The sequence below is a fragment of the Homo sapiens genome, chromosome 11 (genome assembly GCF_000001405.40).
Source record: "Homo sapiens chromosome 11, GRCh38.p14 Primary Assembly".
Taxonomy (NCBI): Eukaryota; Metazoa; Chordata; class Mammalia; order Primates; family Hominidae; genus Homo; species Homo sapiens.
In genome coordinates, this window is record NC_000011.10 from 134,582,798 (window position 1) to 134,607,406 (window position 24,609).

Here is a 24,609-nt window from a genome sequence, read left to right on the forward strand (position 1 = left end):
ATGAGGGTCACACCTGAGGTCTGGACACCCTGAAAACAGCCCCATGTGACTGAGGGACAACAGTCCTCATTTCCTTCTTCCCTGAGCAGACACAGCATCCAAGCCAGTGAGCACTCACAGCCCTGTTGACTTAATGAGGGTCATGTTATCTGTTTCCTTCGTGGGCAGGCCAAAGGTCCTAAAGGGTATGAGCACTGTGTAGGTTATCTTTGAACCCATTTGATTGTTCACTTGCTCATTCATTCATCAAGAGTGACTGAGCAGAGGCCAGGCATGGTGGCTCATGCCTGTAATCCCAGCACTTTGGGAGGCTAAGGTGGGGTGGATCACCTGAGGTCAGGAGTTTAAGACCAGCCTGGCCGACATGGTGAAACCCCGTCTCTGTTAAAAATACAAAAATTAGCCAGATGTGGTGGCTGGCACCTGTAATCCCAGCTACTAGGGAGGGCGAGGCATGAGAATTGCTTGAACCTGCGAGGTGGAGGTTGCAGTGAGCAAAGATCGCACAACTGCACTCCAACCTGGGTGACAGAATGAGACTCCATCTCAAAAAAAAAAAAAAAAAAAAAAAAAGAGTTACTGAGCAGAGCCTGTGAGTGGAATAGACTGGGCTTTGTGTGGGGGCGAGATGGGAACATGAGAAGGTGAGGTTGGAGCACACAGAGGTAGAGATGACATCTCTGAAATGAAGGCATTCACGTTCAAAGAACGGACCTGGAAGCTGGAGAAATATGTTGTACGGAGCTAGATGTAATCAAGTGACTATGTGGTAGCCTGCAGGAAGTTCAAGGGGGAAGTGGTGAGCTCTCTAGATACAGTAGGGTTTTCTAAGAATAGAAAATGTCAGGGTGGACAGCCAGCAAGGGCAGAGGGAACAGAGGTGCCCAGGCACAGAGGAGGCTGAATCTGTTGTCACTTACCTGCTTTCTTAAAGTTGTCTCTCCGTCACCCACAATGTGCTGAAAACATCTGACTTCACTTTTTCAGCTGCTTTTCTGGCTAGGTCATGGGAGGATGCCCCATCCTGAGCCAAAGGTTGCTGCAAGAAAGTCAGATGGGACTTTTGGAAAAGGTTTTCTTCTGAATAAGACAGCTGGAAGAAAACACTGCTCTTCTCACTCTTGGACGTGGCCATGTCTACATTCTGAGCTGGCAGTGGCTTCAGCAAACATGCAGGGAGAGGGCTGCAGTCTCTGAGGGCAGCAGGGCAGAAAGCCTGCGTGCAGCCCCCGATGCAACCACTCAGTGGCTGCATGAACCCGAGCACTGGCCTGCATCCGAGCGTCTAGTTGGAATCTGAAATAGTGATTGTGCCCATAGATTGTGTCCCCATTATGGGGATTTCCCGTGACCTGCAGCCCAGCAGGTGGAAAGATGACAACGTGAGGCAGGCTGGTGACGAGCCTCTGCAGTCAACACTGGAATTGCATGTGGTCACTCGACATCACAGGGGGTGTGTTGGGCGACACCCTCTGAAGCTGCCGCCCTCTTCGAAGGCCTCTTGACACCTCAGATCCCACCGATGCCCTATTTCATGTGTCAGTTTTCATCGACAATCCCTGTGTGTGGTGTTTGAGTCTGAAATAAGTGCTGCTCCTGCCTCAACCCCACCCCCCTGCTGCCTCCCCACACATGGGAGAGAAGCCAGCAGCTCCAGCTCCTGGCCAGGGAGCTGCCAGGGGCAGCCAGGGGCAGGCCTTCTGTGAGGGCTCGGGAGACACACACTCATTCCTGTTATCTGTTTATGAATTGAGGAAGAATTAATTTGCTGATTGAGCAAGCAATCTCTCTCTCTCTTTCTAGGACATTAGTTGACCTTTATTCGTGTCTTCAGTTCCCTGAAATAATTAAGAACCAGAGCAACAGATGATTTGCGGTTCGATCTTGATGGCCACTGCTTTGAAATGTGGTTTTTGGAAAGTCTGAAGTTTGGCTGTAGAGCAATTTTAACCCTGGGTCACAGCGCCGAGGCACATCAGGGCCAGGCCTCTGCACCTGCCGGCCCTCTCGCCGCTCTGCAGCTCACGTGGTACAGCTTTCTTAGGGGATTCCTGATGCTCTGTGAGGCTGAACCAGCAGGCAGGGCTGAGGATGAAAGGGCTCCCCCTCCTCCCCGGCACGGCTGCACCCACAGCCATCCAGCATGATGGGAGGTGACACTGTCCCTGGGCCGAGAGTCCTTCCTTCTCCATTTCCTACTTGGTTTCTTACCAGGACCTTGGCAATGTCCCGTGAACAATGGTTCTTTGTCCCTGGCTGAGTTCAACCATTCAGTAAAGCAATCCTCTCATCTGAGCCTCCAGAATTCCTTCACTATTGCTGTCAATTTTTCTTTCTTTCTTGGATATTTTTGTTTACCTTTCATTGTTTACTAAACAAAACGTTCCTCTATAGCTGGTGGCCCACACCCTGCGGGAGCTATTTCTGCCCAGCCCCCAACTTCTGCATTCCGACCTCAGCATTACCCCAGCAGTGGTGGCTGTTGACTTGGTCACAAGGCCTGGCCATAGCTCCGCTTGTGGTCTGGCCTGGGGAAGCCCATGGAACTGTGTTTCTCTGCCTTCCTGGAGACCTTGGCATGTTTTATCTGTGTGACCTTGACAAAGCTGACTCCATGGTTCTTAACTTATGCTTCAGTTTGCTCCCTAGTTGTCTCATAAGGAAGGTCATGTGTCTGAGAGCTTTGTATAGATTGTGTAGGATAACCTGTAGCCCAAAACGCAAGTGTTTGGTTTTATTCCTGTTACAGGAAAAACAGGAAGGATCCCTCAGTTATTTCTGGAGAAGAAAGGAAACCAGGCCAGTAAGCAGGGAGTAATTCCTACTCAGGTGAGGGAGGGGCATCCACACTTTGTTATGTTTGGAGATCCTTCGTGTGCCCAGACACTCTGCCACATGCCCTTGCCACACATAGAGCAATGCCCCTTGGGACCCAAGGCAGGTAGGGGCCCGAGAGGTTGGAAAGGAGGGGAGCATGATAGCGAGGGCTCAGGCACAGCAGTTCCGTGCCTGGCATCCATGCACTCTATCCTCCCACCAGCCCGCAGGCCACACACGCTTGTGACCTCTGTTCTGCTGGACACTGCAGCAGGGAAGCCATGTGTCCAGGCTGGGGTTGCACAGCTAGCAACCAGGGCATCTGGGGTGTGTGCCCACGCACTCCCACCCCAGAAAGCACCCCGATCCAGGCAGAACACTGCCTCTGAGATGCTGCACCATCTCCATCTCGTCAGCTCAAGCCCCTGGGCTCCAGGCCCACTGGACATCTCATCTGGGTGATTGGCCAGGGCCTCCCACCCAGGGACAGAGAACCCTCATTGCTTTTCTCCAGCGAGGAGGCTCAGGTGCCGGCAGAAGCTGGCTCAATGCATGTTAAGAAAACTAAGGCCCAGGCAAAATGGGCCTCAAAATGGGGCTCCCTGACCCCTAACCTCTCTCACATCCTGCTGCAGTGGCCCCACGGCCAGCCCCAGGTGTCAGCACCCAGTTCCCAGCCCCTCATCCTGTGCAGACAGTGGAGCTGTTCTCACAGAGTTAACAGGAATTCTGGGTGGAAATACAGCTGTAATTACACACTAATCAGCCTGCACTTTGACCCACTTCTTTGTAGGCAAAAATCAGTAGATACTGCCCATGCATATCCCAGTCGCTCCTGTAGACATGCTCTCTGACATTAGGGTGGCACGGCTTTTGTTTAAGAATTGATCAGACAGATCCTGAATGCCAGTGAGACAGCCAATGCCAGCCAGTTTGAAGACCCCCACAGAAGGACGGAACCAGCCTGAGAATACAGCTTCTTCATCTCCCCATCCCACTACCCCACCCTGCACTTTTTGACCAATCAATGATCTCCACACTTCAGCCCACTTCCAAACCCTTAAGAACCCTAGTCCCAAACTCCTCTTGGAGATGGATTGGAGGTTTCCTCTTTTGTCCTCAATGTGGGGCCGTATAATTCAACCTCTGTCTCTGCAGCAACCCTTGTCTTGGTGCATCATCGGGCAATGGACCTGTTACAATTACAAGAGAGGGAGTGGAGGCTCGGGGAGAAGGCAGAGGACTGGTGACCGGTAGGAGAAGAATCTCGTGAAAGTGGGTTGGTGAGGGCTGCACAGGAGGAAGGAGCAGGTCAGAGGGTGCAGTGCCATAGTGTGGGGGTCCTGCGGCTCATGGAACACACAGACACCAGAGGGGGCAGGAGACAGTCTTCATTCTCTGGAGAAAGAATCCTCACTAATTAAGCATATCTGCCTGGACACTCAAGGGGCCCCTTAAAACACCCACTGCTTTGAAAATGGAGCAGCATGTCTCAGGTGCCTCCTGACCCATCAGGGCTGGTGCTTCCTTGGAAGGAGCTATTCCTCTTGCTGGAGACTCTTTAAAACAACTTTTCTTAACACTTCTAATAATTCTGCTTGACCTGAACAGAGACAAACCTGGCTTGGGAATTGAACTGTGGATCTGTTAATTGAGAGCTGGCAGCTTTCAAATGCACCCCTGAGGTGAGGAAGCACTTCCCACCTCTCTCGGCGCCTCTTCTCTTTATTTCACTTGTCCTTCAACTCACAAAATGGTTCCTTATTATCCAGGAGCTGCAAAGAGCAGTAGTGGTTTTCCACATGTTACGAGTGGTAGGGAAAAGGTGAAGGCTGCCACCGGTGCACCTGCCTCCCAAAGAATGACAGAACTGGACAGACACTGGCCTGGCGTTGAGAGACAGGCACTTTGTGAGGTTACAGGGGATGCTGCTGATCCTGGCCTCACACCTGCTGGGAGCACCACCTGCCTGTCACTTTGCATGTGCGCACACACCCACAGAGGCTGTGAAGGTGACGGCTTTTCCCTACCATTTTACAAGACAAATGAAAATACTCTTTATAAGAGAAGTGAAAATAGATGGGTTGTTTCGTTTCCTCCAGAAACAAAACAAAATAAGCCCACTTAATCTTCAGGCGGCCTGCATGTTACCTGTCCTGCTGCTCCAGACTGTGGTTTAGCATCTATAATGATGATTTAGGGTCCTTGATGCCAGAAACCTCTGACATTGAAACTGGAATTGTAGGATTTAATACAAGCTCCTTTCTAAACAAAGATGCAACACACTTCCTCTGACTTGGGGAACTGAGCAGACCTTGAGAAGACCTCAGAGAAGCTAGAGGTTTGAAACCAGAAGTGGGACTCAAGAATTTTGCCTTGTAGATCACGTTTTCTGCAGCTGGCTTAAAGTATTTAAAACATTTCAATATCTCTGGAATCCATAGTGTTTCTACCTTGATTTATCTCAGGGTTGGAAATAGAACCATGATTTAAAATAAAGGATAATTTAGTGTCTAAATCTGGTGGCTGAATCCAGCCCCTGACACCCACAAATGGGGTTTGAGTGGCCAGTTGACCTGGCTGCGGACTGGGGTCAGCATAGGGGCCACAGCCTGGATTCCCTGCCATGTGCTGCATCTGCGATGTGAACCTGTGCTGGATTCCCTGCCGAGTGCTGCACCTGCGATGTGAACCTGTGCTGGATTCCCTGCCGAGTGCTGCATCTGCGATGTGAACCTGTGCTGGATTCCCTGCTGAGAGCTGCACCTGTGATGTGAACCTGTGCTGGATTCCGTGCCGAGAGCTGCACCTGCGATGTGAACCTGTGCTGGATTCCCTGCTGAGAGCTGCACCTGCGATGTGAACCTGTGCTGGATTCCCTGCCACGTGCTGCACCTGCGATGTGAACCTCTGCTGGATTCCCTGCCGAGTGCTGCACCTGCGATGTGAACCTGTGCTGGATTCCCTGCCGAGTGCTGCACCTGCGATGTGAACCTGTGCTGGATTCCCTGCCGAGAGCTGCACCTGCGATGTGAACCTGTGCTGGATTCCCTGCCACGTGCTGCACCTGCGATGTGAACCTGTGCTGGATTCCATGCCACGTGCTGCACCTGCGATGTGAACCTGTGCTGGATTCCCTGCCGAGTGCTGCACCTGCGATGTGAACCTGTGCTGGATTCCCTGCCGAGTGCTGCACCTGCGATGTGAACCTGTGCTGGATTCCCTGCCATGTGCTGCACCTGCGATGTGAACCTGTGCTGGATTCCCTGCCGAGTGCTGCATCTGGGAAGCCTGAGAGACCATTGCTCACCAGTTAAGGTTGGTGCTCTAAGCAAGACGACATTCCATCAAGGTCTGCCCAATTCCTCAAAGCAGATGAAGTGTTTTACATCTATGTTTAGAAAGGAGCTTGTGCCAAATCCTACAATTCCAGTTTCCATGTCAGAAAGAGAATGGTGGAGTGTGTTCTTAAAATCTAACTGCAGTCATTTCTGTGACATTTAAACCTACCTTCCTCCACTCAGATCTCTGTCAATAGAGAGCGACGTTGCTTTGCTCTTCCCCAGTACATGGCACACGCCCTTTCCAGGAAACTGCTTGCCCATTACTTCCACAGTTAGATGTTGCTGCTACTGTTAACCAGCTTTATCAAGGTGTAACTTGCACTTAATATGAGTTACCAGCCTGGGTGTGGGGCTCACACCTGTCATCCCAACACCTGGGGAGGTCGAGGTGGGAGCATCACTTGAGGCCAGAAGTCAAGACTAGACTTGTCAACATAGTGAGACCCCAGGTCTACAAAAAAATTAAAAATTAGCTGGGCATGAAGTTGCATGCCTATTGTCCCAGCTACTCAGGACGCTGAAATGAGAGAATCACTTGAGCCCAGGAGGTTGAGGTTGCAGTGAGCCATGATCACACCACTGCACTTCAGCCTGAGCGACAGAGTAAGATCCAGTCTCTCAAAAAAAAAAAAAAAAGTTACCAATGTTAAGTGTGTCAGTGGATAAATTTTGACAAATATATATGGTAGTGGACCTATTACCACAATCAAAATAGAGAAGATTTCTCTAATGTCCCATTTCAGCAGTTCCCTCCCGCAGTCCCTGGTTCTTGGCAACCACTGATCCATTTCTGTCACTAATTTTTTTTTCTAGAATTCATGTACATGTAGTCATACAGTATAGTCTTTTGTGTTTCTTCTTTCATGCACCATAATGCTTTTGGGATTCATCCATGCTTTTGCATGCATTAGTTCATTCTTTTTCTTCACTGAGTAGTATTTCATTGTATAGATGTGCAATGATTTGTTTGTTTTGCTTTTTACAATTTTGAGCTATAATGAATAAAGCTGCTATGAACCTTCCAGTAGAAGTGTTTGTGCAGATATACATTTTAATTTCTCTTGGATAAATACATAGAAGTGGGATTGCTGGGTCATATGGTAAGTGTAAGTTTAACATTATAGAAAACTGCCAAATAGTTTTCAAAGTGCTGTACCATTTTTGCATTCCCCCCAGTAATATATGAAAGTTTCAGTTGCTTCACCTCTCCTCCAAAGTTTGATATAGTCAGTCTTTTAAATTGTAGCCATTCTAATGAATGTGTAACGGGTTTCTCATGGTTTTAATTTACATTCTACTAGTAACTAATGAGTTTGAGTATCTTTGTCATTTTTTTTGTCATCAAGTATCTTTGTCATATCTTTATTGATAAATATGTTTGCCCATTTTATTTTATTAATTCTATTATATTATTTGTGTTCTTATTACTGAGTTGTAAGAATGTTTTAAATGGACAGACATCAAATATACATTTTGCAAATATTTTTCCTAGTCTGTGTCTTGCTGTTTTTTTTTTTTTCTAACAGTGTCTTTTAAGGAACAAAAATTTTAATTTGATAAAGTACACTTTATAGAAAGTTTTATTTATAGTTTATATTTTTATGTCATATTTGAGAACTCTTTGCCTAACCAAACATTAAAATGTTCTCTCTATTTTCTATTTCTTAGAAGTTTTTTACATTTAGTTCCTACGGTCAGGTCTATGAACCATTTTTAAACTTCTTTTTGCATATGACGTGAGATAAAGGTAAAGGTTTGTTTGTTTTTGCATATAGCATCCAGATTTATAGCATCATTTGTAGAAATTACTATATATGCCCATTGAATTGCCCTGGCACTTTTGTAAAAATCAATTGACAGTCTAGGTATATGTCAGTCTGGGCTGTTCCATTGACCAACTGCATATTTTATTGATTAGTATATGTTTATTATGAGCCGAGGAATCACATAATAAAAGGTCTTCATTTTTGTTTTTACTTTTCAAGGTTTTAGGGGCTACATTAGGACTTTACATTTTCAGATACAATTTTTAACAGTGTTATGAAGATATAATTTGCTACCATAAAATTTACACATTTAACATGTACAATTCAGTACCTTCAGTGTATTACAGAGTTGTGCAACTTTCCACCACTAATTCTGGAATATTTTCATCACCCCAAAAATAAACCCCTTACTCATTAACATTCACTTCCCATTCTTTCTCTGCCAGCCTCTTGCAGCTACTAATCTAGTTTTTAGGTCTATAGATTTGGCTATCCTGAATGTTTCCTATAAGTAGGATCATGCAGTATGTGTTCTTTTTTTGTGACTGGCTTATTTCACCTACCAGAATGTTTTCAGGATTCATCCATTTCTCAGCACATGTCAGTACTTCATTTATATCTGATACCACTTCAGTATATGGCTAGATCACATTTTGTTAATCCATCTATCGATTGATGGACACTTGTATTATTTCCACTTCTTGGCTATCAAGTACACTTTTTTGGGTAGGAGTACATTTTCATTTCTCATATTCCTAGGAGTAAAATTGCTAGATTATACGGTTACTGTATGTTAAGCACTTTGACGCACTGCCAAACCATTTTCCACAGCACTGCATCATTTTACATTCCCATCAGCAATGTGTGAGGGTTTCCATTTTTCTAATTTCTCCTTTTCAACACTTAAATTGCCTGTCTTTTTCACTATAGCTAGTGGGAATTAGGTGATTTTGATTTGCATTTCCCCAATAACTAATGATGTCAAACATCTTTTCATGTGCTATTGACTATTTATTTATCTTCTTTGGAGAAATGTCTTTTCAAATAATTTGCCAATTTTAAAATTTTTTGTCTTTTTATTATTGATATTCTCTTAAAAATTATTTTTATAAACATCCTTTATATAGTCTGAATGCAAGTCCCTTACCAGGTATATGGGTTTCAAATACTTTTCTTATTTTATGATTTTTCTTTTTGTTTTCTTGATAGAGTCCTTTGAAACACAAAAAATTTTAATTTTGATGAAGTCTAATTTATCTTTCTTTTTTTGGTTGCTTGTGCTTTAGGGGTCCTATCTAAAATCCCATTGCCTTGCCAAGATCATGAAGATGAACACTATTTATTTTCCCTAAGAATTTTATGGTTTTAGCTCTTACATTGACAACTCAATCCATTTTGAGTTGATTTTTGTATGTTTTGAGGCAGCAGTCTGACTTCATTCTTTAGCATGAGGTTATCTGGTTGTCCTAGCACCATTTGAATCATGTTAGTGCCATTGTTGAAAATCAACTGACCATAAATGTAATGGTTTATTTCTAGACTCTCAATTCTAACATACATCTATATATATATATCTATATATATATACACATATATGCTAGTACTATACAGTCTTGATTGTTTAGCTTTGTAATAAGTTTATAATTGGAACATGTTCTGAATATCTTCTATTAACTCTGTTGCTACAGTGGGGAGTCACATCCTAAAGTATGAGATGGTTGAACATACAACATTTGATACTGAACAGATGAGATGACAGCAGTTTATTAGTCACATATGCTCACAGTCTGGGAAGGAAGATGCCACACATTATTCAGGGCCACAGGATGATTGCACAAAGAGCAGAGTGAACCAGCAGGGGGCAGTGCAGGTAGGCTGTGTAGTACCAGAGGATGGACTGCCCCTCTTGCCACAGGAAAATGGGGTTGGCTTGTTTGAATAATTTCATGGGCTGGCAGGGAACTGAAGCCTTTAAGGTTAAAAAGCCACCCAACCTGGTAATGCTGGTTTAGTTGGCAGGAGAAGAAGTATAGCAGAGAGCCTTTCCTGATGGGTAGGGGAGCATATCTGCTAAGAGCAGAGAGACTCATGGGCCTGTATGGCTCAGAGTTGTCAAGCAGTACTTGAAATTTTAGTTCTGAAAATACAGAAAGTATAATCCTCTTTTCCAATGTTGCTCTTCTTTTTCTAGATGTTATGGCTATTTTGGGTTTCCTGAATTTATGTGTGAATTTTAGAATCATCTTCTCAATTTCTTTAAAGAAGCCAGCCAAGATTTTGATATTGTGTCAAATCTATAGAGCAATTTGGGGCTTGTTGACATCTTAATATTAAGTTCTCAGATCCATGAACATGGGATGCCTTTCCATTTATTTAGATCTCCTTTAATTTTAATAATCTTCAGACTGTAAGTCTTGCATTTCTTTTAAAAATATATCAGACAAATTCCTAAGTGTTTTATTCTTTTGAGTGCTATTGCAAATAAAATTTTAAAAAATTATTTTTAATTTTTTTTTGTTGCTTAGGATTTTCTGTATACAAAATCTTATCATCTGCAATAAGAGATGGTTTTACTTTTTGCATTCTAAACCAGATGCCTTTTATCTGACACCTTCTGCCCAGTTGCCTTGGCTGGTAACAGCTGAAAACAGCAGACATTCTTGACTTATTTCTGGTCTTGGGAGAAAGCCTTCGGTCTTTCATTATTTAGTATGATTATCAGCTTGGGATTTTTGTAGATTCCCTTATCAGGTTGGAAAAGTTTTATTTTATTTCTAGTTTGTTGATTGTTTATATCATGAAAAGGTATTGGAATTTGTCACATACTTTTTCTGCATCTATTGAGATAAAAATGTGATTTTATCCTTTTTTATTCATATTGTGCATTACATTAATTTTTACGTGTTAAGCCAATTTTGCATAATTGGAATAAATCTCACATGATCATGGTGAATTTTTAAATGTTGCTAAATTTGGTTTGCTACTATATTATTAGAAAATTTTGCATCTCTCTTTATAAGAGATATTATTAATAGTTGTGTTGTATTCTTTTTCTCTCCCTTATGGGTCACATGTACCTGCTTATTTGCATGTTTACTAATTTTTGATTGCATTCTGGTTGCATGATATGTTACATTATGAATGCTTGGGTTTTATTGTCATCCTTTAAAGAGTGACAGACTTTGTTTTACAATCAAGTCATTTGTAAGTCAGTTTGATCTTTTTGAGGTCTATCTTTAAATGGTCTTAGGGAGAGTCTACAGTAATCTTCCCCCTAGGAAATTCAACCCTACAACTGAGGTATGTCTCCTCTGGCTCTTCACCGAATGTCTTGGGTGTTCACTAAAGACTCTTCACTGTGGCTGTTTGAAATTTACTGTAGACTGCATGTTTGTTTCCTGTCCTCCCTCCTGCTAAATTTGTAGGTTAAAACCTAGCCCTTAATGGGATGGTATTAGAAGGTAGGTCCTTTGGGAGGAAAGTCATGAGGATGAGTTAATCTCATACATGGGATCAGTGCCTTCTTACAAGAAGAGACAAGAAAGAACTTGCTTCCTCTCTTTCTCTTCTCCACCATGTGAGGATATAACAAGAATACAGCCATCTGCAAACCAGGAGGCAGGCTCTCTCCAAACACTGGATCTGCTGGCTCCTTGATCTTGGACATCCTAGACTCTAGAACTGTGAGAAATGAATGTTTGTTGCTTAAGTCACCCAGTCTGTGGTAATTTGTTATAGCAGCCTGAGCTAAGATATAATTGAACATCTCCCTACCCTATACCAGCTCTGAAAATTGTTAGCTTCTAACTCCATGGTAATCTCCACCAGCTTTGTGGAGATTCAATCAAACATGCACATCCTAATACTCAGCAAACCCTTGAGAGGATACTACAGAAATTTCTGGAGCTCTTTAACTGTGAGTTCTAGATGAATCCACTGCTCTAATATCTAATCTCTGCCTCTAAACTCAGCGGGGCCAATGGGCTCTGTTTGCATTTCCCTTCCCTCACCAAACCTTGAAATTCTTTTCAGGTAGAATAACAACACAATCATAGGGCTCTTTATATGTGCTTCTGTCCTCTCAGAGATCACAAACTCTTCAATAACTGTCATCCAATGTCTCAAAACAGTTGTTTTATATATTTTGTCTTGCTGTTTATGGCAGGAGGTTAAATCTGTTCCTTGTTACTCCATCATTGCCCCAAAACAGAATTTGATAATGTTTCCTTAACTGTAATCCTTGTCAAAAATAATGAGGAGCAATCTTGGAAGGTAAAAAGGACATTTCTGAGCACCGTAGGGGAGGGAGCCTCTATACTCCGGGTCTGGTAGGGTTGTTACTGGGAATAGGGGTGGATTTCGTAGCCAAACAATTAATGCCAATGTGGAATTTGTCTCTTTTTTTTTTCCCTGGGCGAAATGGTAACTGATTTGGGTGTGTAACGGATAAATGCAGCAGAGAGAGAAACAAAGACAGAAACTTGAATATGGTCTCAAGGAGTGTTGAAGATGCTTCTTAGTCCCTTATTGGAAATGTGCTCCATTAATAGTAATTGACTGAGTGGATGAGCAAACAAGTTCCTGAGTGAATACATGGGCTATGAGCCTAAACCCTGCAATAAAGGGACCTTGATGCTTTAGAAAGCTACCCCACCATGACAGGTGACTTAGGATTGGAGCTTCATCATTAACAATGCTCTAAATAATTCATTTTGTCCACTCCTACCATTTTATAAATAAGGAGGTTAAGTGACATGCCCAAGGCCACAGGCTAATTAGTGAAAAATCAGGACCCACTCCAAGTCTCCTGATGCCCATTTGAGCACTTTTTCTAGAACATCAGCTTTTAAAGGTCTCCTAGGTTGCAGCCACCCCTAGGGTCTCAGGGTGAGCACAGGGCGGGGAGATCAGTGTGCCACAGACCGAGGGTCTGATCTGTCTTGATTAAGGCACTGTCACTGTTTCATGAGAAATGTTCCTCTCCTGTCACTCCTCAGTCCCTGATGAAGTCATATCATCCTTGCAGAGAGAGGCCTTTTGTGATGGTTCTTGCTATTTTTCATGTGGGCCCTTTCCCTGCCACTCTGTCCTTATTTCTATCTCTGTAATAAGGATTTATGACCTTCGAACAAGAAACATGGGGGTCATTACTGCTAAAGCCTCTCCTCTCTGCTCCCTTGGCCCCTGTGTACGAGGGTAGTAATGACCTGATCTGTGGGATGGTACAGCCTTCTCGGGGGGATAATACATTGCACATGAACTGAATCTGTATGGGAGACAGAATTTACCCTACTCAGGTGGTGGACAACTGAAGTGTATTGCCCATGCTGGCATTTTTTCTCTTAGAGGTATCTTAAAACTTGTTTTCATTCAGCATCTCTAAAGAACAAACTTTTTTTTCTTTTTTTTGAGACAGGGTCTTGCTTTGTTGCCCAGGCTAGAGTGCCATGGTGAGATCTCAGCTCACTGCAGCCTCTGCCTCCTGGGCTCAGGCAATCCTCCCACCTCAGCCTCCTACAGTCACATGCCACCATGCCAGACCAATTTTTTGTAGTTTTAGTAGGCATAGGGTTTTGCCATGTTGGCCAGTCTGGTCTCAAACTCCTGAGCTCAAGTGATCTGCCCACCTCGGCCTCCCAAAGTGCTGGGATTACAGGCATGAGCCACCGCATCCAGCCTAAGAACAAGCATTTAACTAGATAGCTAGGTCTGAAGTTAAGAGTGAAAAATGTGTAGGTGAACTCCAAATCTCAGATTCCCTACAATCCAGTGAGCTCCTGGGGCTCAGATAAGGGTTCTGTGGTAGCCTATTTGGGGCCTTGCCTCATCTACAGAGGCATCTCCTTAGCCACCCGAGAGGTTAGCAGCTTTGAGGAGGTTTTGGGCCAGGTGCTCATCTCTTGACAGCTTAGGTTCAGGGGTGGGGAGTCCCAGCAGGCACTCTAGCATTGGCCACCAACAAAAGAAGGGAGGTTCTTGGAGATGAGCCCCCTAAAATGTGGATGCCCTTAGTGATTGTCCTAGGGTTATTCTTTATTGTCCGCTAACGCATTAGCTACTGCACTGCTGGCACATAACACTTCAGGATTCCCCAGAATGGGAACCAGGAATGGGGATGAGGATAGACTGATGGGACTGAAAAATCTCTCCTATGGGAGGACTAGGCAAGAGGAAAAGAATCGTGGCAGTATCAGAGAAGGCCCCAGACATGGCTCTCTCATTGTATTTATTTCATTCTGCTTAGAGCCTGCCCTGGGCTGCCAATGTTTTCCTAGACAACCCAGTTTGTGTCTCTCTACACTGTTAAGTTCAATACCCGTGCCTGATAGAGTCTTGTCCATTCTTAAAAACCTTCTTGGAAGAATTCAGATGCCCCAGGGTATCCTATTTTAGAATCTAGTAACCTTTCTTCTCTGAAGAGGAAAAAAAGCATTTATTTAATTGTCTGTTTATTTTTATATTTATTAAATATGACCTGGATTCCCTAACACTAATGTTGCTCATTTCTTCCACAAATGGCCATAGGCCCAGCTCTGGAAGCGATGCACGACCTCCTTGCGTGTGACTTGGGTTTTAAAGCCAGCATGCCAGAGTTCAAATTCTGGTTTTGCCCTTTATATACCTCTCCTGTTAGCTGTACTGCAGCCAGCAGGGTATAATCAAACGTAGGGTAGATTTTCTGCACTTCACAGCAAGGCATTCTAGAAGACCACAGGCAGCAGAGTGCCCAGTGCAATCTAAAACAGTGCGATGAATTTCTCCTCATGCAGGCGCGGGAGGGCGGGCTGGGCAGGGATTCCTGGAGCAGAGCTGCCACTTGCCTGTCAAATGCCTGGACCCCGCACACCCAGGCTGCAGTCCTCAGTCCATCGTGCTGTGTGCTGTATGCTTGCAATTGCTTCACTGTGCTGACCGCGTCCATCTGCCCCTGCTATGGAAAGGGAAGGGCACCTGTCCCCTCCCTGGGAGTTCCCTGGGTGCCCTGCACCAACAGGCACTCTTGTGTTCTGGCTGCCAGCTGGGCTTCAGAAATGGAAAGAACTAGCAATAGTGGAGAGGAGGGGGGCATGGGCCAGGACATGGAGCCTTGTCTTCCTCCTGGAGTGCTGTGGGCTGGCTGCTTCTCTGCATGGAGGCACAGCTCTCTTCAGGTGTCTCTTTCCACAAAGCTTGCTCTTCATCTTGTATGTAACCTCCAGTGGGGCACTGCATGTTCCCAAAAGCTTCCATTTTACTGATTGTTCCCTCCTCAAAAAGCCGAAACATGGTGCAACCCTGGAAGGTAGATGTGACCTCCTCAAACATTTCAGACACAGATGACACTGCCCATGTTGGAGCTTAAGAACTTGTCTTTTTTTCTGTAGTGTTTCTTGTATTCCTTAAAGCTTTACAGCAATTGCTTCTAAGCAGTAATAGTCAAGTGGAAATTCCTTGTACTTGTTTCAATAGCAAAATGAAAAAAAAAAAAGAATCACCTTCCGATCCCAACATGCCTTGAGCTTCTGAAGCAGATTGCCATCCACTTTGCACGGTTCTCCCTGCCCAAGGGTTCACAGTCTCTGCCCATAGGGCACATTCTCGAAGGTTGGCACCCAGACACCTTTCCGATGGCTCCAGCACGGGCCTCCAGTCACTCTCTTTTCCTTTGTCCCGTCTGGCTTTTCTTCCTACTTGACTTTAAATTGTATGTTCGTCATTGTCTTCCTTCCCCCACCGGAACGTGAGCTCCTCGGGCCAGGGACTGCTCCTGTTTGTTCTGACTCTCTCTGGAGGCTTTGGAGATCAGATCATCCTTTTGGCCCTCTGCAACCACCTCACCCCTCTCCTCTCTGCTCTGGGCAGCAGGAAGTTGGGCCATTTGAGGGCAATAGTGGGGACTCCTGACTTTGGGCTCCAGTCAGCTCCAAGGGGAGCCCTGTTTGAAGACTGGAGGGTGGGAGGAGAGTGAATGCAGGGTCTTGATTCTCCCTGGCCCTGGTCACTCCCCTTGGGGCCTAATGGTATTATAGCTCCCCCACACATTGATTGACAGCCCTGGGAGATCTCAGCATCCATTGTGGATTTTCCTATTGAATATTTCTATTCCTGATTCCTAGTCCTTCCTATCAAATTGCCCACACATTTGTCAATATCTCCTTTATTAATTATTCCTTATATTGCTCCTCAAACTGCCTGCCCATTTGTTTCATGCCTGAAACCTGACTGATCATGGTAACCATTCTTGGCATATATTAGGGACTCAATAAATATTTATTGAATGTTTTCCAATGATTGGAAACTAGGAATCGTAACTTGTTCCATGATGGCAACAGGAGCACTTTCTTAAATGAAGAGAGATGATCAAAGTGTCCATTAACATATTGATGGGAAATGAGTTTCCAAGATATTTCATAATTTAGAAAAACACTTTCTAACTAATTACATTTCTTGTATTTCTAATCAATCAGAATGGATAATGAATTTATAGATGAGGCTTGTTCAAAATCTCTGAACTTTCAGCAGGAAGAACCGTTTTTGGTGCTTCAGCTGCTACTTTTATATTTTTTTCTCATCTTATTCTGTCTTCTCCTAAAAGCTTCAGACACAGATGTTCTCATGCAGGCTCTCATGAGCTGAATTAATTGCTTGGTTTTTAACCACATCTTAAGCAGAGGCCCCAGCAGCCAAAGGCAAACAGCGGGTCAATTTGAGCAAAGCAGCTGTCATGAGGACGGGTTTGGCTTGCTCCAATTCACAAGTGAAGGTCAGGGGCCTTTGGTGATGTCTGCCGGGCCAGAGCAATCTGGGCTTTGTGAACTGTGAAATCTAAGCAGCTGAAGATCCCTTCCAAGACAGAACACCACGTGGCTATATAACCTCCTGGGAAGAGCAGTCAACCTAGCAGGGCAGGACAGGACCAACGGGGCAAATGAATGCAAGGTCCAGATACAAGAGGGGCAGAGACAGAGCCAGGCGGCCACAGGAAGTGCTGAGTCATCTTTTCACCCACTTTCCTAAAGTAACAGAAGAGGAAGCTTTAGGTGTGAAGCTGGAAAGCTCTTGTGATCTCTCGTCCTGCTAAAAGCTGAGGAAAATTAGTTTCATATAAAAATCAGAAACAGAAAAGGATGATGGTTGAATCACATATAGGTTTTTCAACTTACCATTTATTTTTATTGTATATATTTAAGATGTACAACATGTTTCCATAAGCATTTGCACAGTGAACGATTACTATTCTCAAACAAACTGACATGTCCATCACCATCCACGGTTATTTTTTCTTTTGTGGTAAGAGCACCTAAAATCTACTCTCAGCAGATTTTTAATATACAGTGCAACAATATTAACCATAGTCTTCGTGTTCTACATTAAGTCTCTAGATCTGCTTAACCTATCTAACGGCACTTTGTACCCTTTGACCTACTTCTCCCTGTTTCCTCCACCTACCACGCCTGGTACTTCTGCTCTGTTTTTATTTATGTGAGTTTTTTCATGAAGATTTCTGTGCTCCCATGTTGAGGCATTACTGATGAGAGCCGAGATATGGAAACAACCTAAGTGCCCATCGATAGTTGAACGGAGGAGGTGATTGTGGTGTACATGAGTTACCCCTTTCCCACAGGGGAGACTTTCTGAGAACCGCAGTGGATGCCTGAAATGGCAGATAGTACCAAACTCGTAGATATTATGTTTTCCCATACATACATACCTATGACAAAGTTTAACATATAATAAATTCAATAAATATTGATATATTAGACGTAATAAGAGATTAAAACAATAATAATAATAAAATAGAACATAATAACAAGATTCTGTAATAAGTGATGTGTAAATGTGATCTCTCTCACAATTTTGTTTTTTTTTTTTTTGAGATGGAGTCTCACTCTGTCGCACAGGCTGGAGTGCAGGGGCATGATCTTGGCTCACTGGCTCACTGAAAGCTCTGTCTCCCAGGTTCACGCCATTCTCCTGCCTCAGCCTCCCAAGTAGCTGGGACTACAGGCACCTGCCACCACGCCAGGCTAATCTTTTGTATTTTTAGTAGAGACAGGGATTCACCGTGTTAACCGGGGTGGTCTCAATCTTCTGACCTTGTGATCCACCTGCCTCAGCCTCCCAAAGTGCTGGGATAACAGGCGTGAGCCACCGCACCCAGCCCACCATTATTGTACTGTATTCACCTATTTTTGGAATACAGTTGATGGTGGGTAACTGAAACCACGGAAAGTAAAAACCACGAATAAAGTGGGATTCCTGTACATATATAAAGGAGCATTATCCATACTTTATAAAAGGATAAATTTCTATCTACAACCACATGGATGAACCCAGAGGACATTGTGCTGAGTGAAATAAGCCAGACACAGAAAGAAAAATGCCTCATGATCTCACTTATATGAGGAAGCCACATAATGTTTTTTATAAGAATTTAATGAGAATGAAGAACAGAATCACATTCTTACAGCCATAGGAAGAATGTCAGAAATACATGTCTACAAAACAAATAAAGACTATAACCTTATATTTCAAAACATCTCTAGATACTTAAGAGAATAATAGAAGACATGAAAATCAGCATTAAAAGTTAGAAAATTTCAGAAAGGAGGAAATGAAATAATTGAGAAAATAAGTAGAAATACAACAAAAATAAACATTAAAATGAAGATTAAACTACAAGGAGACTTAAAAAAATAAACCAAATAGATAGTGGCTTAAGAAAAATAAAGAGTGAAAAGAAGGGGAAATTGACTTTAGTCTTTAATTCACTCAACAAACAAAAATAATTTCCAGGATTATGAACTTAAATGTGAAAAATAAAATAATAAAGAGTCTAGCACATATGAGACTATCTTAATAAACTTAAGTAGGAAAGCATAAAACAGGAAGCAAAAAAAGCAATAAATTGGATTACAATAAAACGAAGACTCTTCATCTGACCATCATGAGAGTGGAAAGGCAGGCCAGGGTATATCAGAAGATATTTACACCACTTACATTGAGCAAAGAATCTTTATCCAGAATATATACAGAGCTATCAAGTCAATAGAATAAAGGGCAAAGTACTTGAATAGACATTTCACACATCAGCATATCAAAATACACAACAAATACATGAAAATGTGCTCAATGAGTTAATTATCAGGGAAACAGAAATTAAAGGCACAATTAGGTAACACTATGCACACACTGCAATGGCTAAAATATAAAATGCTGACACCATTAAGTGTCAGAGAACACATAGAACAACTGGAATCTTTATTCTGAGGGTTGGCGTATGGATTAGTAAGACCATTTGGAAAACTGGCCGAAGATGTCTACTAAAGGGTAGTGTATACATTCGCTGTGGTGAAGCAGAAATTTCACATCTTGGTATGTACTCATCAGAAACACAAGATGCAGCAAAATCCAACCATGTACAAAACCAAACATGGCAGCATGATTCTTAATAGCCTCAAATGAGAAACAATTCAAGTATCAGTAGAAAATATTGGCTGTGCTCACATAATAAAATGCCAATAGACTGCAGCTACATGCAACAACCTCAGTGTGTTTTACAAATAAAAGGCTGAGCAAAAAAGCCAGACACAAAGCTTCTATGTACTCTACTGTTCTGCTATACTTTTCTACTTCAAGATCAAACCCGCAGAACTAATGTGTGTTATTAGACGTCAGAACAGTGTTAGCTTTAAAGAAGATGCCAGTGGTGGCTGGAACAGGATGTAGGGATTCTATTCATTATTTTTGGTGGTAGTGGTTACATGGGTGTGTTATTTTGTGAAATTCATCATCGTATACACATATTTGAGCATTTTATGTAGGTGTGCTATTAATTTAAAAGTTTATTTTAAAACTATGAGTACTTAAATATATCTGTATCTCTGTGATACTTATATAATCATATACAACTGTACTTATTTACTTAAAATTAGATTCTTCTCACACTCTATCTACTGCTCAATGTAGACTATCAAATAGGTACGCTATTAAAAAAAACCAAACCTAAACAACTCTATTAGGATTCTATTATCAGTGCTTATTAGAATTTAAGCATGCATCTGTCAGGTACCCATTAAGAAAGCTTTTAGATGAAAATTTCAAGGTGTTAATTGACCCTTCATGGGCATTTGAAGTTCACTTTCCTTTTGTAGCTTCTTTGAAGCTTTGATTGGCTTCAAAAAAGAGGCAGCCATTTATGTAAGTTGGGTCCTTGATTTAATTGTTTGAAGGTATAAAAGATCTCAGTGAATATGCTCAAAGTGAGATTGACCTGCATTTTATGGAGTTCACTAAATTTTCTTTTCCCTAAGATGTATGTATTTCCTTTACTGTCTGGAATATTTTATTGGGTATGGATTATACCATAGTAGAAGTTTTAGGTAAGCTGGAGCTCCACCACACATTCAGGCAATGGAAGAGCACACAGCCTAGGGCTGGAGACAGGAGATCCTCTCCAGAGCTGATACATTTGAGTAGGGTCAAAAGCGATGTGGGCTCCAGAGCTCTGTAAGATCACACGTTTTACTGAGAGCCTGGGAATATTTTACCTTAAAGGGAGTTAATTCTATATTCCTACCTCAGGAGTGAGATAAGTAAGTTACATAATTCAACAGGCACAAACACTTGTAGTGCCCTTTTCTAAGCCATCTTTTGCCAGATGCTGGGGATAACAAAATGAACAGATCTTCTCCACACAATGAACCCATCATACTGCAGGGAAGGCTCGCTAGCAAGCCTTCCACTAGAGTGACACAGAATGAAGGCTACCACTGTGCTGAGCACAGATGAGTCACTGACTTGCTTGACATCCTCCAAAATATCCTCAACATAAAACTTTTTACCTTGTGCTACAGTTTGGATGGAGGATTGGTGCCAGGCTATGCTAAGGGAATGAGAGTGTGTGTGTGTGAGAAAGAGAGACAGAGAAAGAGAATCTCCACAACAAAACTACTTACTAACTTTGAAAATGTTATGTGACTTCTGGTTCTATGTTCATGATCATGTTGTTTATAGGTAAGTTTCTTTCTTTCTTTCCCCTCCACATGAATTTCATTTCTTTATCTTGTCCTAAGCACTGACTAGCGACTCCAGTACAGTATTGAATAGAAGGAATAAAAGGCGGCATCCTTTCCTTGTTTTTTCAATAATTCAGTGTAAGTATGATATTCACTTTTGGGATTTGATTTACAAGAAAGGAAATTTCACGTGATTCAACAAAATAGATACAATTTATAAGATTCATGACATTTCATTGTATTTCTAACTTTCTACGATTTTTTTATTGTGAATTTTAACAAATGCTTTTAAAAAATTGTGAAGATTATGTAATTTTTCTCCCTTTTCAGTTAATGTCTTGAATTACATTGGCACTATCATCCCTGGAAAGCCCTGGCTATGGAGGATTTTTTATTTAAACAAAATAACAAAACATAAATAAACATACTCTTTAAGACAATTAGTAGGCTTTATTTTGTAGAGCAGTTTTAGGTTTATAGAGAAATTGCTCAGAGAGTGCAGAGAGTTCTCACTCACAACCCCGTCCCCCACAACTGTGGCACACCATCTTCCCTGTTATCAGCATCTTACATGAGTGTGGTCCATCTGTTACAATTGATGAGCCTGTCTTTTTTTTTTTTTTTTTTGAGACTAGTCTCACTCTGTCATTCAGGCTGGAGTGCAGTGGCATGATCTTGGCTCACTGCAACCTCTGCCTCCCAGGTTCAAGTGATTCTTCTGCCTCAGCCTCCCGAGGAGCTGGGACCACAGACAGGCACCACAAAGCCCGGCTAATTTTTTTTTTTTTTAATGGAGATGTGGTTTTGCCATGTTGGCCAGGTTGGTCTCGAACTTCTGACCTCAGGTCGTCCATCCACCTCAGCCTCCCAAAGTGCTGAGATTGCAGGTGTGAGCCACTGCACCCAGCTGAGGAGCCAGTCTTGACACCTGACTACTAACTCAAGGCCATGGCTTACATTAGGACTCACTCTTTGTGTACAGTTCTATGGATTTTGACAAATTATAGTGTCACCCAGAACAGCTTCACTGACCTGAAGATGCCTGTGCTCCACCTACCCATGATTCCCACTCTCCCCCAACCCCTGGCAACCACTGGTCTTTTTACTATCTCGATAGTTTTGCCATTTTTATAATGTTATCGTGTTAGGCTCTTCTTGCATTGCTATAAAGAAATACCTGAGACTGAGTAATTTATAAAGAAAAGAGGTTTAATTGGCTCATGGTTCTGCAGATGTACAGGAAGCAGGGTGCTGGTATCTGTTAGGCTTCTGGGGAGGCCTCAGGAAGCTTACAGTCATGGCCTCAGGAAGCTTACAGTCTTACTAAGATAAAGCAAGAACGGGCATCTCACATGGCCAGAGAAGGAACAAGGGGTGGGGGAGGTGTCACACACTTTTAAATAACCAGGTCTCGTGAGAAGTCACTCACTGTCACAAGGGCAGCACCAAGCCAAGAGGGATCCGTCCCCATGACCCAAACACCTCCCACAAGGACCCACTTCCAACACTGGGGATTACAACTCAATATGAGATTTAGAGAGGACAAATTCAAACTGTATCAGCCATATAGTTGGAATTATGCAGTATGTAGTGTTTTCAGATTGGCATCTTTACTTAGCAATATACCTTTACATTTCCTCCACATCTTTTCATAGCTCAATCACTCATTTCTTTTTAGCACTGAATAATATCCCGTAGTCTAGATGTACCCCAGTTTATTTATACATTTCACATGCTGAAGGGCATCTTGATTGCTTTCAAGTTTTGGAAATTATAAATAAAGCTGCTGCAACCATCTTTGTGCATGTTTTTGTGTATACAAAAGTTTTCAACTCATCTGGGTGAAACCAAAGCAATATGATTATTAAATTGTATATTCAGAGTATAGTTAACTTTGTAAAAGATTGCCAAACTGTCTCTCAAAGTGGCGATAGCACTGTGCATTCCCACCAGCAATGAATGAGAGTTCCTGTTGCTCCACATTCTCGTCAGCATTTGGAGATGTCAGTGTTTTGGATTTTGTCATTCTAATAAATGTGTAGTGGTATCTCATTGTTTAAGTTTGCAGTTTCATAATGGCATATGATGTTGATCATCTTTTTATATGCTCATTTTCCATCTGCCTATCTTCTTTGGTGAGGTGTCTGTTCAGATCTTTTGCTCATTTTTAAACCGAGTTGGTTACTTTCTGATTGTTCAGCTTTAAGGGTTCATTGCATACCCAAGTCCTCTATCAGTATGAGTTTTGCAAATATTTTATCCCAGTCTTTGGCTTGTCTTTACATTTTTTAACCGTGTCTTTCACAGAACAGAATATTTTAGTTTCACGGATGTCCACTTACACAATTTGTTCTTTCATGGAGTGTTGCTTTAGGTGTTGTATTTAAAAAATCATCACCAAATCCAAGATCATCTAGATTCTCTCCTATGTCACCTGCTAGAAGTTTTAAAATTTTGAGTTTTATATTTAAGTTTATAATCCATTTTGAGATTTTTGTGACACATGAATTCTGTATAGATCTCCTCTCTTTTTTGCATGTGGAGGCCCAGTTGTTCCAGCACCATTTGTTGAAAACGCTCTTTCTTCATTGAATTGCCTTTGCTCCTCCATTGAAGATAAGTTGACTTCGGTGGATCTCAAGCTAGTCACATGCCTCCAGCAATTCGTCAATTACAGTTTAAGTGTTCCTACAAGAACCGGCTGTGCAAGGGCTTCTGCCCCTGAAATGTTGCTCCCAGTAAGCTGTGATTCTTTGTACCCACCTCTGTCTCCAACTATTGCAGCATCCTTCGCCCGTGACTTCAATCCTCTGAGAGATCTCAGAAGAGTTATTTCTCAGTTTGTTCAGCTTTTTTCTTGTTGTGAGGATGGGAGTGATGGCTACAGGTCATATGGCAATGGAACTTTGAATCTGCTTTTTCTAAGTTGATTTCAAGGGCACACACCCTGTTCCAAATTTTCCCTAGACTAGAGAAAGGGATTATTTTGTTTTTCACTTAGAGGAGGAAGAAACTATCAATCATGAAGTAAGGGCACAATCATGTTTAAACCTCATCTTGCATTGCTTGGCAATGGCCCTGCATCTCTGAAAGTGTGTGTGGTTCTGTGAGGGTGGGGAGTGCTGAAGGTGGGCTCTGCTCTCCTTTTCTAGGGACTTTCTCATATTTGTATAGATTTTGATGGACTTACTAGCAAACCTGCCTTATTTTATAATACACAGCACCACTCCAGATTCATCTTGGAGGTCTCTTTCTGTTCTTCCCTCCCACCCACATGAACACTCAATGCTTACAACTGAGAATATTTCAGAAACCTGCTCCTCTCCTGGTTTGGCAGTTGGTGATTTGGATTCTAAAGCCAAGAATGCTGGGATAAGCTGAAAGATTTATAACTATGAGAGTCCCTGCGAGCGTTGGCTACAAGCACGACGGTAGCCCAACATGCACAGAGGGAAGAATGAATGACAGCAAGATGCACATGTCCAGCCATGACCTGGACAGCTCCTTGCCCCAGCAGCTGGGATCTAGTGCTGCCTCCCTCTGACTCAACTTCTGCCCTGTCTTGGGCTGCTGTTTCTGTCTGATTCTCCTGAACCTCATCCACTGTCCTGGTCCATTGACATCAGGCAGACTATCTTTCCTGCCATTCCCACTGAACTCCTGATGAGGCACTGACTTGATCCC

General features: G+C 42.7%; 4 annotated features.

Moving 5' to 3' along the window:
• Positions 1,188–1,833: an enhancer, noted in NCBI's record as "H3K4me1 hESC enhancer chr11:134453879-134454524 (GRCh37/hg19 assembly coordinates)". NCBI's record gives its function as "activates a minimal SCP1, AML or CMV promoter by ChIP-STARR-seq in primed H9 embryonic stem cells {active_cell/tissue: H9 hESC(primed)}" and the evidence as "EXISTENCE:reporter gene assay evidence [ECO:0000049][PMID:30033119]".
• Positions 1,834–2,478: an enhancer, noted in NCBI's record as "H3K4me1 hESC enhancer chr11:134454525-134455169 (GRCh37/hg19 assembly coordinates)". NCBI's record gives its function as "activates a minimal SCP1, AML or CMV promoter by ChIP-STARR-seq in primed H9 embryonic stem cells {active_cell/tissue: H9 hESC(primed)}" and the evidence as "EXISTENCE:reporter gene assay evidence [ECO:0000049][PMID:30033119]".
• Positions 2,479–3,123: an enhancer, noted in NCBI's record as "H3K27ac-H3K4me1 hESC enhancer chr11:134455170-134455814 (GRCh37/hg19 assembly coordinates)". NCBI's record gives its function as "activates a minimal SCP1, AML or CMV promoter by ChIP-STARR-seq in primed H9 embryonic stem cells {active_cell/tissue: H9 hESC(primed)}" and the evidence as "EXISTENCE:reporter gene assay evidence [ECO:0000049][PMID:30033119]".
• Positions 3,150–3,319: an enhancer, noted in NCBI's record as "experimental_19765 CRE fragment used in MPRA reporter constructs". NCBI's record gives its function as "activates a minimal promoter by MPRAs in K562 erythroleukemia cells, with activity observed for both the introgressed and non-introgressed 11:134455926 variant alleles {active_cell/tissue: K562}" and the evidence as "EXISTENCE:reporter gene assay evidence [ECO:0000049][PMID:34662402]".